The 18126-nt window shown below is 43.3% G+C and overlaps 1 protein-coding gene and 1 pseudogene across 4 annotated transcripts in view; one reads left to right on the forward strand and one right to left on the reverse strand.

Moving 5' to 3' along the window:
* The window catches only part of PRSS23 (serine protease 23), a 161840-nt gene that overhangs the window by 58266 nt on the left and 85448 nt on the right, over positions 1-18126 (forward strand). The gene's annotated exons all lie outside the window — the stretch shown is intronic.
* On the reverse strand, positions 7595-8618 carry OR7E2P (olfactory receptor family 7 subfamily E member 2 pseudogene; annotated as a pseudogene). The gene has a single exon (NR_045004.1). The product of NR_045004.1 is annotated as an olfactory receptor family 7 subfamily E member 2 pseudogene (transcript).

Below are 18126 nucleotides of genomic sequence, written 5' to 3' on the forward strand. Positions count from 1 at the left end.
ACCCTTATTAAGGAGAGACATATTAGACAAAGCTGGAGCTATTATCTACATAAATATAGGGAACAAATTACCCATTTGTTGTCCCCTACTTGAAGAAGGAATCAACTCTGAAGTCTGGGCCTTGGAAGGACAATTAGGAAAGGCAAAGAATGCCCATCCAATTCAAATCAGGCTAAAAGACCCCACCACTTTTCCTTATCAAACGCAATATCCCTTAAGGCCTGAAGCTCACAAAGAATTACAGGATATTGTTAGACATTTAAAAGCTCAAGGCTTAGTAAGAAAATGTAGCAGTCCTTGCAACACCCCAATTCTAGAATTACAAAAACCAAATAGTCAACGGAGACTATTGCAAGACCTCAGAATCAATGAGGCAGTAATTCCTTTATATCCTGCTGTACCTAACCCCTATATGCTGCTCTCTCAGATACCAGAGGAAGCAGAATAGTTCACTGTTCTGCACCTCAAAGATGCCTTCTTCTGCATTCCCCTGCACTCTGACTCCCTAGTCACCCTACAAAGCCAGCTTAATTCTCTCGCTGCAGTAGTCCTCCAAAACTGAAGAGCCCTAGACATAGTAACAGCTGAAAGAGGAGGAACCTACCTCTTAGAGAAGAATGTTGCTATTTCATTAACCAGTCAGGAATCATTACTGAAAAGGTCAAAGAAATAAGAGAACGGATAGAAAGTAGGAAAAAGGAGCTTGAACACTCAGGACTGGAATATGTTTAACCAATGGATACCTGGGCTCCTCCCCTTTCTAGGCCCTGTGACAGCCATCCTACTATTACTCACCTTTAGGCCTTGCATTTTTAACCTCCTTGTCAAATTTGTTTCCTCCAGGATCGAGGCCATCAAGCTACAAATGGTCTTACAAATGGAATCTCAAATGAGCTCAACTCATGGCTTCTAGTGAGAAACCCTGGAATGACCCGTTGGTCCCTCATTAGCCTAGAAAGTTCCCCTCTGGAGGACACCACAACTGCAGGGCCCCTTCTTCATCCCTAACCAGCAGGAAGTAGCTAGAAGAACCACCACTCAGCTCCCAACAGCAGTTGGGGTGTCCTATTTACAGGGGGGACTGAGAGGAGGTGCCAGCTGGGCTTCCTGGGTTGAGTAGGGGCTCAGAAAGCTGTGAAACTCACTCATTTCCCTGTGTCAGGACTTACTTCAGTCCTGGATGAATAATATTGAAGATATATGCTTGCTTAAAATATTCCTAACACCAGGATCTGTGCATGTGTTTTCTTCCCCAAGAAAGCTATAAACAGCAAAAATTTTGCTGTAAGTATCCCTGTGTCCTCTCTCCCTTCCCCCTCCCCTGAAACTAAAAGGAATGTTAACTGCCCATTTTTCTGTGACCAGTGGATCTTATCTATGCTCCCAATTCCAATTTCTTGTAAACATGCTTTGTAACGTCCTGTAAGATCCTGTCTCCTTTGCCATGCTGCTACAAAGTCATAAAGTAGACAAAACCTAAGTTGCAATTCCAGTTTTCCTCAAAATCTAAGACATGTCACAAAATAATTTACTGCCTTTGTTTCTCGCTCTGGTAACATCTTCCTACCACACCTATTCCTTGCCTTAAAGAGTTTGAAAGGCAATTGTATAATCTCACTCTGGCTACCCATTCGGGACCCCTTCCACACTGTGGAAACTTTGTACTTTCACACCAATTCTTTGGCGTGGCTAGGCAAGAACCTTAGACGTTACAAGAGGATTGGCATCTCACCCCTTGCCATACAGATAAGTAGAAAGGGTGGCATTCAAAATTAATGGCCAGTCTCTAAGTCCCAGGCACTGAACTTCATGGTCTTCCAACACTCAAAAAGTTGTAAGCAGAGGTCAGAGGTCTTAACCATAGCCATATCTGAGTTGCATTTTGAAACAGTTTCCAGCTTCCTCAGTAGGAATGGAAGCCAAACTCCAAATTTATGACTCCTTTGAGGAAGTCAAGAGCTGTAAGGAAAGCCAGGGGCAGGGGCAAGGGAGAGATGCCCCTTGAATGATCCTGTGCCAGTTCTTTCTGGGATCTTTGATGTCATCTTAGCTGCCCTTTCTATACTTGACATAGTGAACGTGGCATCCACTGGTCTAGCTGTGGTCTACCAGGAACCCCCAAAGGGAAGGGCACAGTGAGCAGGGGCATCTGCCCGAGTGACAAGGATTTGAGAGGGCAGGTTGGATGCAGGGAGAGGACTGGCCAAATGCCATGAGTCTGGACGTAGACTGCCTGGTTCAAATGGGAATTCACCCTTTTCGACTTCATGATCTGATACAAGTTATATGAAAATGCGTCACAACTTTTCTAGTCTGTTAAATGATAATGAAATGTGCACTAATAACTGGGAGAAGACTACACAGATGAAATGAAACAAGCTGCATAGACCACAGAGCTAAGAAGGTGGCACTTAGGAAGCCCTCAGTAAGAGTTCTTGGTGCCATGGTATCTGCCATCTTCCTTTTTATCCTCATCATCACCTTCATAATCTTTCTGTTGTGCTTAGGGAATAGTTTAGAGGAACTCATTCCCTGCTATCATGAGTGAGATGTCTATGAAAAGGACAACCATTGGTGGGGGGGAAGCAAAATTTTGAATAACATTTCTGAGACCCCCACCACAACCAAGAACAGAAACTCCACAGTCTGCTGAGCTGACAGTTTGCATATTGGTCTCCTCCCATCTGCCCACTGCACTCTCCTGTTTGTCCTGAGGATGAGGAAACAAAGCAACGCTCCCAACCATCCCTCAGCACTCACTGAACTGCCCCTCCCCTCTGCTGGGCCATGACCACGGAGAACAGGTCCACTGTCCTCCCTGCGTGGTGCACGATGGAGTCTCAGAGTCCGTCCTCAAGACTGGCAAGAAGACAGGGTGAGACATGAGCCTCCTGATAGAGGTGATGGGTGTGGAGCCCACAGGACTGGAACCTCACACTGCAGGGCTGGAGGCACAGACTGAGTATTTACTATTCTATGGCCTGTGGGGCTCAGGGCACAGAGCTCCTCATTAGCCAAAGTCACCCAAATTCCCCAACTTCTAAGGATTTCCTCATAATAATGCAAGAAGAAGAGAAAAGTTAGTGTCCATTGAAGCTTTGGGGCTCTTCCTCTAATCAGGAGAAAGCTTGTGTATATTATTCGCTTCTTTCTTTTCTTCTTAAAGATCCAACTGCTTTAATTTTCATCTTTTATTTTGGGAAATATACCACATATAAATATTAAAAATTATAAATATATATTACTTCATATAGAATGGCCAGTATAAACATTTACAATTTCCACTATTTTTCAGTTTACAGTTTAATGACATTAAGTACATTCACATTGTTTAGCAACCATCACCTCCATCATCTCCAGAACAGTTTTATCTTTCAAAATGGAAAAGGGACCCATTAACCAAACTCTCCATTCCTCTCTCTCGCCCACCCCTGGGGGCCACCATTCTATTTTGCAACTCTATGCATTTAACTACTCTAGACACTTGATATAAGTGGAATCACACCATGTTTTGTTTGTTTGTTTGTTTGTTTTGGAGACAGAATCTTTCTCTGTCGCCCAGGCTGGAGTGCAGTGGCATGATCTCGGCTCACTGCAACCTCCACATCGTGGGTTCAAGCGATTCTTGTGTCTCAGTCTCCGGAGTAGCTGGGATTACAGGCGTGCGCCACCACGCCCAGCTAATTTTTGTATTTTTAATAGAGACGAGCTTTCACCATATTGGCCAGGCTGGTCTCAAACTCCTGACCTTAAGTGATCCACCTGCCTCAGCCTCCCAAAGTACTGGGGTTACAGGTGCGAGCCACTGAGCCCGGTCGTGTTTATCCTTTTGGGATTTATGTATTTCACTGACGATGATGTCTTAAAGGTTCATCCATGTTGCAGCCTGTGTCACAAGTGCCTGCCTTTTTTTTTTTTTTTTTTTTTTTTTTTTTTTTAATGGAGTCTCACTCTGTCACCCAGGCTGGAGTTCAGTGGCACAATCTGGGCTCACCGCAACCTCCGCCTCCCAGGTTCAAGCGATCTTGTGCCTCAGCCTCCGGAGTAGCTGTGACTACAGGCATGCGCCACCATGCCTGGCTAATTTTTTGTATTTTTAGTAGAGACAGGGTTTCACCGTTTTGGCCAGGCTGGTCTCGAACTCCTGACCTCAGGTGATCCTCCCACGTTGGCCTCCCAAAATGCTAGGATTACAGGTGTGAGCCACTGCGCTGGCCAGAAGTGCCTGCATTTTTAAGGCTGAATAGTCTTCCATTGTATGAATGAACTGCAGTGTGCTTTTTCATTCTTCTGTCCACGAACGCTTGGGTTGCTTCCACATTTTTGCTGTTGTGAATAATGCTGCTATGAATATGGGTGTACAAATATCTCTTCCACTGCTGGCTTCTAATTCTTTTTGGGAGGTACCCACGAATGTAACTGTGGGATCATCTGATAATTCTGTTTTTCATTTTTCAAATACACTCCATACTATTTTCCCTGTTCCTGCACAATTTTACGTTCCCTCCAATCATATTCGAGCATTCCTACTTCCCTCTAGTTTCACCATTGCTTGTTTGTTTATCATATCCATCCTAATGTGTGGTATCACATTGTTGGTTTGATTTGTACTTCCTTAAGATTAGCGATTTTGAACATCATTTTATATGCTTATTGGCCATTGCTATATCTTCTTTTTTTTTGAGTCGCAGTCTCACTCTGTCGCCCAGGCTGGAGTGCAGTGGCACGATCTCGGCTCACTGCAAGCTCCGCCTCCCGGGTTCAAGCCATTCTCCTGCCTCAGCCTCCCAGCTAGCTGGGACTATAGGCATCTGCCACCACGCCTGGCTAATTTTTTGTATTTTTAGTAGAGACAGGGTTTCACTGTGTTAGCCAGGATGGTCTTGATCACCTGACCTCGTGATCTGCCTGCCTCGGCCTCCCAAAGTGCCGGGATTACAGGTGTGAGCCCCCGCACCTGGCCGCTATATCTTCTTTAGGGACATGTCTACTCAAGTCTTCTGACCATTGTTAATGGGATGCCTTGGGTTTCCTGTTGTTTACTTCTAGCTGTTCTTTGTATATTATGGATAACAGCCTCTTTTCAGATGTATGATTTGCAAATATTTTTCCTAATCCATGGGTTATCTTTTCACTCAGTTCACAGTGTTTTTTGATGCACAAAAGTGTTTGTCATTTAGATGTAATCCAAGGAATCTAATTTTCTTTTGTTGCCTATGCTTTTGGTGTCTTATCCCAGAAAGCATTGTCCACTCTGATGTCATAAAGGTTTTGGCAGCGTTTTCATTTAGGCATGTTATAGTTTTAGCTCTTGGGCGTAAGTCTTTGATCCAGTTTGTGTTAATTTTTGTACCTGGTGTGACATAGGGTCCACCTTCATTCTTATGCATGTGGAAATCAAGTTTCTCCAACACGATTTGTTGAAAAGTATGCTTTTCCACCAATGAACTTTCTTGGCACCTATTTTAAAAATCATTGGGACATATGTGTGGGAAGTTATTCCTGGGCTCAAAAACAAACAAACAACAACAGATAAAAATACAGCATGGGCCAGGTGCGGTTGCTCACGCCTGTAATCCCAGCACTTTGAGAGGCCGAGGTGGGCGGTCACCTGAGGTCGGAAGTTCAAGTCCAGCCTGACCAACAGGGAGAAACCTCATCTCTACTAAAAATACAAAATTAGCTGGGTGTGGTGGCACATGCCTGTTATCCCAGCTATTCGGGAGGCTGAGGCAGGAGAATCACTTGAAACCCAGGAGGCAGAGGTTGTGGTGAGCTGAGATCACACCATTGCACTCCAGCATAGGCAACAAGAGCAAAACTCCACCTCAATTAAAAAAAAAAAAAATACAGCATGATTTCGAGTCCCAGTCTAGCCTCAAAAAGAAGAGTATAGAAGGGTGTGATTGGAGCGGAAAGGTAATAGCTTAAAAACTAGCATAATGAGAAAGTTAGGAAGCTTCTTTCCAAGCCATCTGGAAATATTCAATAAATTCCTGTGAACTAAAATTTCCCTACTGTACTGTCAAACAGTCGAACTCATTTATTCCATCTTTCTGTATTTTTGTACCCAATTATCCACTTCTCTCCATTCCCTATCCCACTCCTTTTCTTCCCAGCCTCTGCTAAACACCTTGATACTCTCCACCTTCATGAGATTTCTTTGCGTGTGTGTGTGTGATGGAGTCTCGTTCTCTTGCCCAGGTTGGAGTATAGAGGCATGATCTTGGCTCACTGCAACCTCTGCCTCCTAGTTTCAAGCGATTCTGCTGCCTCAGCCTCCCAAGTAGCTGGGACTGCAGGCATGCACCAGCACACCTGGCTAATTTTTGTATTTTTAGTAGAGATGGAGTTTCACCATGTTGGCCAGTCTGATCTCCAACTCCTCAGATGGCCTCAAGTGATCCGTCTGATCTGGCCTCCCAAAGTGCTGGGATAACAGACATGAGCCACCACCCCTGGCCAAGATTTTCTTTCTTGTTCCTACATATAAGTGAGGACATGTAATATTTGTCATTCTGTGCCTGGCTTATTTCACTTAATATACTGACCTGCAATCTCACCCATTTCTGCTGCAGTGGAGAGGATTTTATTCATTTTTAGGCTGAATAATACATCATTGTGTGTGTATACCACAGTTTTTTAATTGAAACAAATTTTTTAAAAATATATATTTTAAAAATGTCTCAGAATGTGAAACTTTAGGGATACTGTGACCATTTTATTCTTTTCTATTTCCCATTTTATGTATGTACAAGTGTGAGATAAAACAGCAATCAATGTGTGTATAAATCTATAACTTCAACAAATGTAAAATGAAAATGCTAAGTGGTAAGAAAGAACAGCATAATAAAAATTTGCATCATGTTTAGGACAATGCATTTGAAGATAATATTTGAAGAAATCATATTACAATTAACTTCTGTTCTTATTCATTGGAGCTTGATCCCTCTAGGAACTTCATCATTGAAACAGTCTCTGGTGCTTTAAAAAAAAAAAAAAAATCTGCATGCCCACACAGGTGCAAGTAAATCGGAATGTCAGGTAATGAGACCCAGGCCTCATCATGTCTAAGCTCCCCAGGTGATTTCAATCAAAGCCAACGTTGAGAACCGAACCGGTGACACGGATCTCTACACATAACCTGCCTAAATAGATTCCCTAGAAGCAGTTTATAAGGAAATTCCACATGAACTGTGGAAAAGGATGTGAATTTGATGTACAGTATGTCCTGACTTAACATCTTGGAAAGTCTCTTGGAAACTGCACGTTTAAGAAAAATTATGTATAGTGAAACCAAGGTATTCCTCATCAACACTATAACTAAACAACCTTAGACAAACCATTGGTGTTGGAGGACATGCTGCACATTGTTTCCATAAAGTCAATTTTCAGGGAATTACAAAATTACAAAATGAATTACTTCCTGTATATAAAAAGATGGTTGTGATTTCACCTGGAGTACAGGGTTATTGCTGAGAAACTAAAGGAGGCCGCCCAGATATAGAGGATTCAGTCATGATGTTTATGCTAAACAAAGGATCCCAGAATACTCACCCATTCCAGTTAAAGGCATAACAAAGAAAGCAATATTCACATAGGAAATGTGGAAAGGAATAAAAGCCATCAAGCAACAAAAATAATGTGACAAAGGGGTTAGGATTTGCAGATGTACAGATTTAATGTGGTTGCCCTTTCTTACTCACACAAGAGAAAGGATGGAACAGATCATGAGATTTGACTGTTCTGCTGCGCAGCCTCCACAGGGCACTATGAATGTCCCTGTTTCTCAGGCTGTAGATGAAAGGGTTCAGCATGGGGATGACCACAGCGTACATCACTGATGCCACCACTCCATTCCTGGGAGATGATGACACAGCTGAAGTCAGGTACACGCCAATGCCTGTTTCATAAAATAAGCAAACAACTGCCAGGTGAGAGCCACAGGTGGAGAAGGCTTTATACTTCCCATCTGACGATGGAATTCTTGGAATGGAGGAGACAATTTTATAGTAAGACAAAAGGATCCCTGAAATGGGAAGAAAACCAAATATAGGGATATCTAAAATACATAATATGTTATTGATGATGCTGTCAGAACAGGCAAGGTTGAGAAGTTGAGATGGGTCACAGAAAAAAAATTATAGATTTCCACATTCTTGAAGAAGGTGAGTTGTGTAACACAATCCAGCTGTGCAGCTGGGAATCCAACAGGCTAAGGAAAAAGGACACCAAAACTAAGAAGACACAGAGGTGAGGATTCATGATGACTCGGTAGTGCAGGGGGTGACAGATGGGCAGATGGCCACAAATCGGTCATAGGCCATCAGAGTCAGGAGCATGTCTTCTATACATGCAAAAAGGACAAAGAAAGACATCTGTGTCAGGCAGCCCGCATAAGAGATGACTCTGCTATGCGACTGCATGTCCACAATCATCTTGGGAACTGTGGCCGAGGTGAAACCAATGTCAGCCCAGGACAGGTTGGAGAGGAAGAAGTACATGGGGGTGTGGAAGTGGGGGTCAGAGCTGCCAGCCAGGATGATGAACAGGTTCCTCAGCATCGTGACCAGGTACATGGACAGGGAGAGCCCAGTGAGGACGGGCTGTCTCCCAGTATCGCAGGGGGTTGTACACGCCTTCTGGGATATTGTTCCTAATATCCAGAAGGCAAGAGGATGATATTACTCCCAATATCTAAGGGAGTGTACCACCCCCTGTGATACTGTTCCTAATATCTGGGGGAGAGAGGATATTACTCCCAGTATCTCAGAAACTGTACACCCCTGCTGTGATATTGTTCCTAATATCCAGTGGGGGAGAGAATGACATTTCTCCTAATATGGTAGGGGTTGTACACCTTCCTGTGATATTGTTCTTAATATCTAGGTGTAGAGAGCATAATATTACCTCCAATATCGCACGGAATTTACACCACCCCTGTGATATTGTTCCTAATATCCAGTGGGGGAGAGAATGATATTACTCCCAATATCGCAAGGGGTTTACATCACTCCTGTGAGATTGTCCCTAATATCCAGGGAGGGAGAGGATGTTATTACTCCCAATACCGATGGGGGTGCACACAACCCTGTGATATTGTACATGATATCTACTGGGGGAGATGATGTTATTACTCCCAATATCTCAGGGGGTGTACACCGCCCCTATGATATTGTTCCTAATATCCAAGGGAAGAGAGGAAGATGTTAATCCCAATGTTGCAACAGGTGTACAACTCCCTATATTTTTGTTTTTAAGATCCAGGGGGGAGAGGATGATATTACTCCCAATATTGCAGGGGGTGTACACACCCCTGTGATGGTGTTCCTAATATCCAGTGGGCGACAGGATGATATTACTCCCAATATCACAGGGGGTGTACACAACCCTGTGGTATTGTTCCTAATATCTAGAGTAAAATAGGATGATATGACTCCCAATATCGCAGAGGGTGTACACTCCTCCTATAATATTGTTCCTAGTACCCAGGGAGGGAGAGGATAATATTACATTGAATATTGCAGAGAATGTACACCCACCCCCTGTGATATTGTTCCTAATATCCAAGGAGGGAGAGGATGATATTACTCCCAATATCGCAGAGGCAGTACACCTCACCTGTGATATTGTTCCTAATATCCAAGGAGGGAGAGGATGATACTACTCCCAATATCGCAGGGGTGTACACACACCGGTCTAAAATCTAGGGGAGAGAGGGTGATATTACACCAAATGTCACAGGGACTGTACATCCCTCCTGTGATATTGTTCCTAATATCCAAGGGGGAAGAGGATGATATTGCTCCCTATATCAGGGGAAGTGACACCCCCCTGTGATCTTGTTCCTAATATCCAGGGAAGAAGAAGATGATATTACTCACAATATCAGAGGAAGTGTACACTCTTCTTGTGATTTAGTTCAGGTGATATCTCAGGTGAGGAGGGGATGATATTACTTTCAATACCGCAGAGGGTGTACACACTTCCTGTGATATTGTTTCTAATACCCGTTGCAGGAGAGGAGGATATTACTCCCAATATTGCAGGGAGAGTACACCCACTCTGTGATATCGTTTCTACTATCCAAAGGGGAAGAGGCTTATATTACTCCCAATATCGTAGAAAGTGTATACCTACCCTGTGATACTGTTCCTAATATCCAGGGGGAGAGTTGAAGATATTACTCCCAATATCGCAGCAGGTGTACAAACCCCTGTGATTTTGTTCCTAATATTAAGGGTGAGGGGGGAAGGATGATATTACTCCCAGTATCACAGTGGGTATACACCACCTTTGTAATATTGTTCCTAGTATCCAGAGGGCAAAAAGATGATATTACTCCCAATATCCCAGAAAGTGTACACCCCCCCTTCATAATATCCTGGGGGGAGAGAATGATATAACTCCCAATATCACAAGAGGTGTACCTTCACCCTGTGATATTTTTCCTAATATACAGGGTGGGGAAGAATGTTATGACTCCCAATATTGCATGGGGTGGACACCTCCAGTGTGATATTGTTTCTAATATCCATGGGGGAGAGGATGATATTACTCCAAATATTGCAGGGGTTATACACACCCCCGTGATATTGTTACTATTATCAAGGAAGGAAGAGGATAATATTAATTCCAATATCGCTGGTGGTGTATACCCAACCTGTGATGTTGATCCTAATATCCAAAGGGGGAGAGGATAATATTACTTTCAATATCGCATTTTGTACACCCCCTGTGATATTGTTCCTAACATCCAGGGGAAACAAGGATGATATTGCTCCCAATATCACAGGGGATGTACACCCCTCCATGATATTGTTCTTAATATCCATATGGGGAGAGGAAGATATTACTCCAAATATCTCAGGTGTTGTTCACACCCCCTGTGATATTGTCGCTCATATCCAGTGAGGGAGAAAATAATATTACTTCCAATATCCCAAGTGGGGTGTACCCCACCTGAGATATCATTCCTAATATCCAGGTAGGGAGAGGGTGATATTACTCCCAGTATCAAAGGGTGTGTACACTGCCCTTGTGGTGTGGTTTTTAATATCCAGGGGGTGAGAGGATATTACTCCCAAAGTAGCAGAGGGTGTACACTGCCCCTGTGATATTGTTCCTAATATCAAGGGGGGAGAAGATTATATTACTCCCAATATCACAAGGGTTGTACACCCCCTGTGATATTGTTCGTAATATCCAGGGAGGGAGAGGATGACATTACATTCAATATCACAAGAGGTGTACATCCCCACTGTGATATCGTTCCTACTATCCAAGAAGGGAGTGGATGATATTACTCCCAATATCGCAGTGGGTGTACGTTACCCCTGTGTTATAGTTTCTTATATTCAGGAGGGACAGGATAATATAACCCCAAATTTGGCCGGTGGTTTGACCCCCCTTGTGATATTGTTCCTTATATCCCAGGGCGGGGAAGACAATAATACTGCCCTCAGTATCGCGGGAAATGTACGTCACCCTGTGATATTTTTCCTAATATCCAGAGGGAGAGAGAATGATATTACTCCCAATATCGTAGAAGTGTACAGCCCCCCTGTGATATTGTTCTTAATATCCGTGGGGTGAGTATGATATTACTCCCAATATAGAAGGGGGAAGTACACCCTCCTGTGATACTGTTCCTAATATCCACCGGGGGTGAGAATGATATTACTCCCAATATCGCAGGAGGTGTACATCCCTCTGTCACATTGTTCGTAATGTTTAACGGGAAAGATAATATTACTCGAAATATCGTTAATACCCTGTGTGTCCACCCCCCTGTGATATAATTAGTAATATCCAGGGGGAGAGGAAGGTGATATTACTCCCCATGTCACGGGGGGTGTCCACCCTCCTGTGATATGATCCGTAATATCCAGGGTGGGAGAGGGGGGCGATATTACTCTCAATGTCGCGGGGGGTGTCCACCCCCCTGTGATATGGTTTGTAATATCCGGGGGCGGAGAGGGGCATGATATTACTCTCAATATCTTGCGCACCGTTTTTGTACACCCTCTCTGATATAGTTTGCAATATCCAGGAAGGGAGAGGATGATATTACTCCCCATATCGCAGGGGGTGTGCACCTCTCTGTGACAGCGTTTGTATTATCGGTGGGGAAGTGTATGATATAATTCCCTATATCGCAGAAGGTGTACACGCCCTTGTGATATTGTTCATAATATCCAGTTGGAGAGGGGATGATATTACTCCCCATTTGCAGGGGGCGGACACCCTTCTGTGATATTGTTCGTACTATCCGGGAGGTGGGGAGAGGATGATATTACTCTTCATATTGCAGGGAGTGTACACCCCCCTATGATATTTTTATTCTACCCAAGGGGGGTAGAGGTTGATATTACTCCCCATGACTCAGGGGTGTACACCCCCCTGTGATATTTTTTGTAATGTCCAAGGTGGGGCAGAGGATATTACTTCCCATGTCTGATAGGGTGTACACGCCTTTGTGATATTGTTTGTAATATCCAGAGTGGGAGAGGATGATATTACTTTCCATATTGTAGGAAGTGTACACCCCCTTGTCATATTGTTTGTAATATCCAGCGTGGAGAGGATGATATTACTTCCCATATCAGAGGGGGTGTCCACCCAGTTGTGATAATGTTTGCAATATACAGGGGGTGAGAGAATGATATTACATCCCATATCACATGGGGTGTACACCCCCTTGTGGTATTGTTTGTAACATCTGGAAGGGAGAGGATAATATTACTCGCAATATCGCAGGGGGTGTACACCCCTTGTGATATTGCTTGTAGTATCTGTTGGGGAGAGGATGTTATTCCTCGCAATATCTCAGTGCGTATACTCACTGGAATATTAGAAGTAATATCCTCGGGAGATATTACTCCTAATTTCACAGTGGGTGTACACCCTGTGATATTATTTGTAATATCCTTGGGGTATGTTACTCCTCATGTGACAGCGGGTGTACATCCTGTGATATTATTTGTATCATTTTTAGGGGGTGTTACTCCTAATGTACAGGGGGTGTTCACCCTGGGATATTATTGGTAATATCCTAGAGATATGTTACCGTAATGTCACAGGCAGTGTACACTTAGTGATACTATTCGTAATACCCTAGGAGGATGTTACTCCTAATGTCGCTGTGGGTGTACACTCTGTGATAATATTCGTAATATCCTAAGAGTATGTTATTCCTAATGTCACAGCGTGATATTATTCCCAATATCCAAGGAGAATGCTACTCCTAATGTCACAGGGGGTGTAAACCCTGTAATAGTATTTGTAATATTTTAGGGGGATGTTACTTGTAATGACACAGGGGGTGTACACCCTGTGATATTATTCATAATGTCTTAGAGGCATATTACTCTTAATGTCACAAAAGATATACACCCTTTTATATTCTTCCTAATATCCTAGGGGCATGTTACTCCTAATGACACAGGGTGTGTACACTCCATGATATTATTCATAATATCCTAGGGGGGTGTTATTTTTAATGTCATAGGTGATGTACACCCTGTGATATTATTCATAATATTCTAGGGAGATATTACTTTAATGTCACAGAAGGTGTACACCCAGTGATATGATTTGTAATATTCTAGGGAGATGCTACTCCTAATATCACTGTGCATGTATACTGTGTGATATTATTTGTAACATCCTAGAAAGATATAACACCTAATATCACTGTGGGAGCACATCCTGTGATATTTTTTGTAATATCCTAGAAAGCTATTACTCCTAATATCACAGTTGGTTTACACCCTGTGATATTAAAAGAAATATCCTAAGTAGATACGACTCCTAATATCACACTTGGTGTACACTCTGTGATATAATTCCTAATATCCTAGGGAGACATTACTCCTAATATAACAGTGGGTGTTCACCCTGTTATATTATTTGTAACATCATAGGAAGATATTACTCCTAATATCATATTGGATGTACACCCTCTGATATTATTTGAAATATCCTATGCCTTCATATAAACTTTTGCTTGCTAGATCAGTTCCTTGAGGAGAGAACTTCAGCTTTAAACATTCTAGTCCCTTCATGGCACCCAGAGGATACAGGAAATGCCCCAGGTGCTCATAAGTGCCCAATAGTAGGTTCCCCTCATCAGTGAGCCTGGATTCAGGATGGGGGCCAAGAAGTAACTCAGTCTACTACATTCCTTGCCTCAGAACGAGAACCTTTAGGGAGATTTGAATATTTGAGGTCACAGGGACATTTCTCATATGGCAGAATCCTAACTTTCAGAATTTAGAGTTCCACAGCAGCTTTAAATGCCTGCAACACTAAATCCATTCTTTCTTTACTTTCCACTTACCAGATTTTCCTGGACCTGTTTTCTCTTCTCCAGAATCCCTTCATAGACTCAAATGCTTCAGCAACTCCTTAAAATGTTTTTAAAATATTGACTTCCTAACGATTAACAGATGCAGACAAAGCCACAAGCTGTGGGTAGAAGAATATAAATCCAAATTTAATTCTGTATTAAAGAGCAAGGCTGCATTGTAATTCTCTAATTCTGCATTGTGTTGCAATGCTTGACACAAATGAAGGGGTTACCTTCTAAATACCTGAGTGACCGTGAAATCTGAGATCACTTGGGACCCCATGTCCATGACGAGTTTTTAAAATGTGTAATCATATAATAATCACGGTCATTTATTTGGAATTGACTCTGTGCTTCACACTGTGCAGTTCTACATAAATCATTTTCTCTTCCAACAACTCTATGAGGTAATTGATCCTACCTTCATTTTACAGATGATATTACCAAGACTGAGACACTGAGAGAATGGCCTTGAGATGTGACTGCAGCCATTACACACACTGTATAGCCCATGATGGTGATTATTTAAACTTGATTTTTTTTTTTTCCCCAAAGACTAGTGTTCCTGGCCTGACACAGGACTGAGCAAAGGCAGAAAGGCAGGGGGTAGTCGAGGCAGTGCTGGAAATCAGACAGCTGCAACAGGCTCACTCCTTATGGGAGAGGCAGTGTCACAGGAGGTTGTCAAGTTGGAGGCTGGCGGTTCATGTGTAGCAGAGGGGCTGACGCCACAGCACAGAGGAAGGACCACGTAGTCATGCCTAAGAAGCATGGCCAGTGGTGGCCAATGACAATCCTGGCCAACGACATCAGTCTCTCTGGAGCTGCCTTGAACAATCACCAGCTCTCATGGTGGCTCTTGCCCAGCAGTGACTTTAAGGACACCTCTCATCATCTGGCAATTAGCAAAATTTTCCAGGGTGGATTAGTTTTCTATTGCTTCTATAACACATTACCACACACTTAGTAGCTTATGCAAGACTGATTTATTATCTTACAGATCTAGAGGTCAGAAGTCCCAAAATGGTTCTTATGAACTATGATCAAGGTGTCAGCAGAGCTGTCTTGTTTCTGGAGGCTCTAGGAGAGCACCTTTTCCAGCTTCTAGAGGCTGGCCTCATTCCTTGGATGGTGGCCCTGTCCTTCATCTTTAAAGTCAACAGCTAGCATCTTCCAGTCTCTCTCTGAGTCTGCTTCCATCATCACACTGCCTTCTGTAAGTGTGATCTTCCTGTCTACCTCTTAGAAGGACACTGTGATTGCTTTGGGCCCACACAGATAACTCAGGATCATTTTGCCATCTGAAAATGATCCATAACATAACCACATCTACAAAGTTCCTTTTTCCAGGTAAGGTAAAACATTCCCAGAGACTAAGATGTGACCATCTTTGGTGGTGGTAGGAGGGGACAGAGGCATTATTCTGACTACCACACAAGGGAAGTAGCAAGAGACCAGTGTGTAATTTATCCTGGAGCTGGCCCTTCTGCTCTATGGAAGCATCACGGTACAGTGGGGAGGCCATAGGCTTTGGAGCCAGGCAAGTTGAGGTTTCAATTCCCAGTTCTACTATATGTGGTCTTGAGCAAGTTACTTAAGTCCTCAACTTCTTTGAGTTTCAGTGTATGCTTGTGGGGATGACCGTAGTAATGACTAGGGTTATTATATCACTTGGAGGTAACATATGCAAAGCGCCTGGTACATTCTTAATAAATGAGGGGCTATCATCACTGTCACTCTGATGTTGTTTCAGCAAGTTCTGTGAGTGTGGTGATGGAAATGCTAAATCCATGTTCTGTGAAGCAGAATGCCTCCTTGCTGGGCCTCAGTGGCAATGCCAACTGTAGCCTTCTTTGCCAAAGGACAGGCAGGTAGAGCTGCAGGAGGGAGAAAGCAAGCTGTTGTACAAAGCTCAAGATATAGCTGGGTTCTGTTTGATCATCAGTTAGCAGGTTTATGCTCATCCACTTGTTGGCAGTTTCTACTCAGATGGCCAATTCCTGGCTTTGGTCCCACTGAGGACTCCGTGGACAGTGCTGCCAGCTCAGGTCCCTACTCCTCCCCACCTAATTCTGACAAGGTGTTCTCATGCTCCTTGGAAACATCAAGACCAGACTAAGCAGACAGCTAATTGCAAATTCATTTTCCCTGCATGAAACAAATGGAAAAAGCCAACAGCTTACACAAAGTCCTTTGAATTGAAGTTGCAAATGCTTCTCACAGAAGTCCACATGCGATTAAAAAACCATAGGCCTGAGAGACTGGGCATCAGTCATCATTTCTTCCATTTTACAGATGGGGATGTCTGGGAGTCACGCTTCATATTGCTGGAACAAGAGACAAGCCTAATCTCCTCACTTCTTGTGTGGCCTCCTAAATCTAAATTGGGCTGGGGTATTTCAAAGGTTGAGGTTCAGCCTGATCTTTTTCAATTTTTTCTTGCATTTAAAAACAGAGCCACAAAGGGGTGATATCCAGCCCCTCAAAGTGGTAAGTTATCCTATGACTCAGCCTGATTGTGAAGTGCAACCCTCTAGAGTAAACCCAACATTACTGCTGCCAATACGACCACCACCCTTCATCCAGAGAAGTACATGACAAGAGAAATGTGAGTGATACAACCGTAATGCTCTGAGTACAGGGGTGGGGAGCTGCAGTCAGTAAGGAGAATGGTAGGGTACAGGAGTGAAGGGGTCAGTGCATGCAGGGTAAAATGACATTAGGAGAGATTACGCTCTTATAATTACATAGAGGACTACCTGCCTATTTAAGCAACATCACCCTATGACTAAATTCATTTATTTAAAATCCATTCATCATCTATTCATTCATGAATCAACTTTTCAAGTCAGCATTCATTGAACACCTTTTATATATGCCAGGCACTGCATTAGACTCTGGGTATTTAAGGATGAGCAAGATACCCATTGCTATGATTTCAATGTGGTTTGTTTGTCACCAACAAATCTAATGTTGAAATTTGATCCCAGTGTTGGAAATGGGGCCTAATGAGAGGTATTTGGGTCATGGAGTAGAATCCCTCATGAATAGATTGATGCCCTCTCTTGGGTGTGAGTGAGTTCTTACTCTACTAGTTCCCATGAGAGCTGCTTGTTAAAAAGAGTCCCCCACCCATCTCTTGCTTCCTCTCTCACCACGTGATCTCCACATACACCAGCTCCCTTTCACCTTCTGCCATGAGTGGAAGCAGCCTGGGGCCTTCGCCAGGTGCAAATGCCCAATCTTGAACTTTCCAGCCATCAGAATCATGAGCCAAGTAAGGCCTTTTCCTTTATAAATCACCCAGCTTCAGGTATTCCTTTATAGCAACACAAAACAAACTAAGTCACCCATTGTGCCCTAGAGAAAGAGACTCAGTACATCAGTGATGTGGCAGATACAGAACCAGGGTATCTAATCTAGCTTCATCCCCGAGCAGAAATGTCTTCACATATACTAGTGAGTTTCTATATCTTTGTTAACCTCACTCTTACCATCTGGAATGCTCTCCCTCACAACTTCTCTGTGATAAAACCACCTTCATCCTTAAGGGCCTGGCACAAGGCCTCCTTCTCCTTAAAACCTCCCCAAGCTGGCTCTCAAAACTATTCTCTCATGCCTCTGTGTTCCCACAATGCCTTGCACCTGAAATTTAGGCTCTATCAGGGCTGATTTCCATGGGAACTGTGGTTTACAACTGTCTCCTAGATCAAACCCACAGTGTCTTAAGAACAGAGTGTCATAAGGACAGGGCCTTGCCTTCATCATCTTTGTAG

Source organism: Homo sapiens, chromosome 11, assembly GCF_000001405.40.
Source record: "Homo sapiens chromosome 11, GRCh38.p14 Primary Assembly".
Classification (NCBI taxonomy): domain Eukaryota; kingdom Metazoa; phylum Chordata; class Mammalia; order Primates; family Hominidae; genus Homo; species Homo sapiens.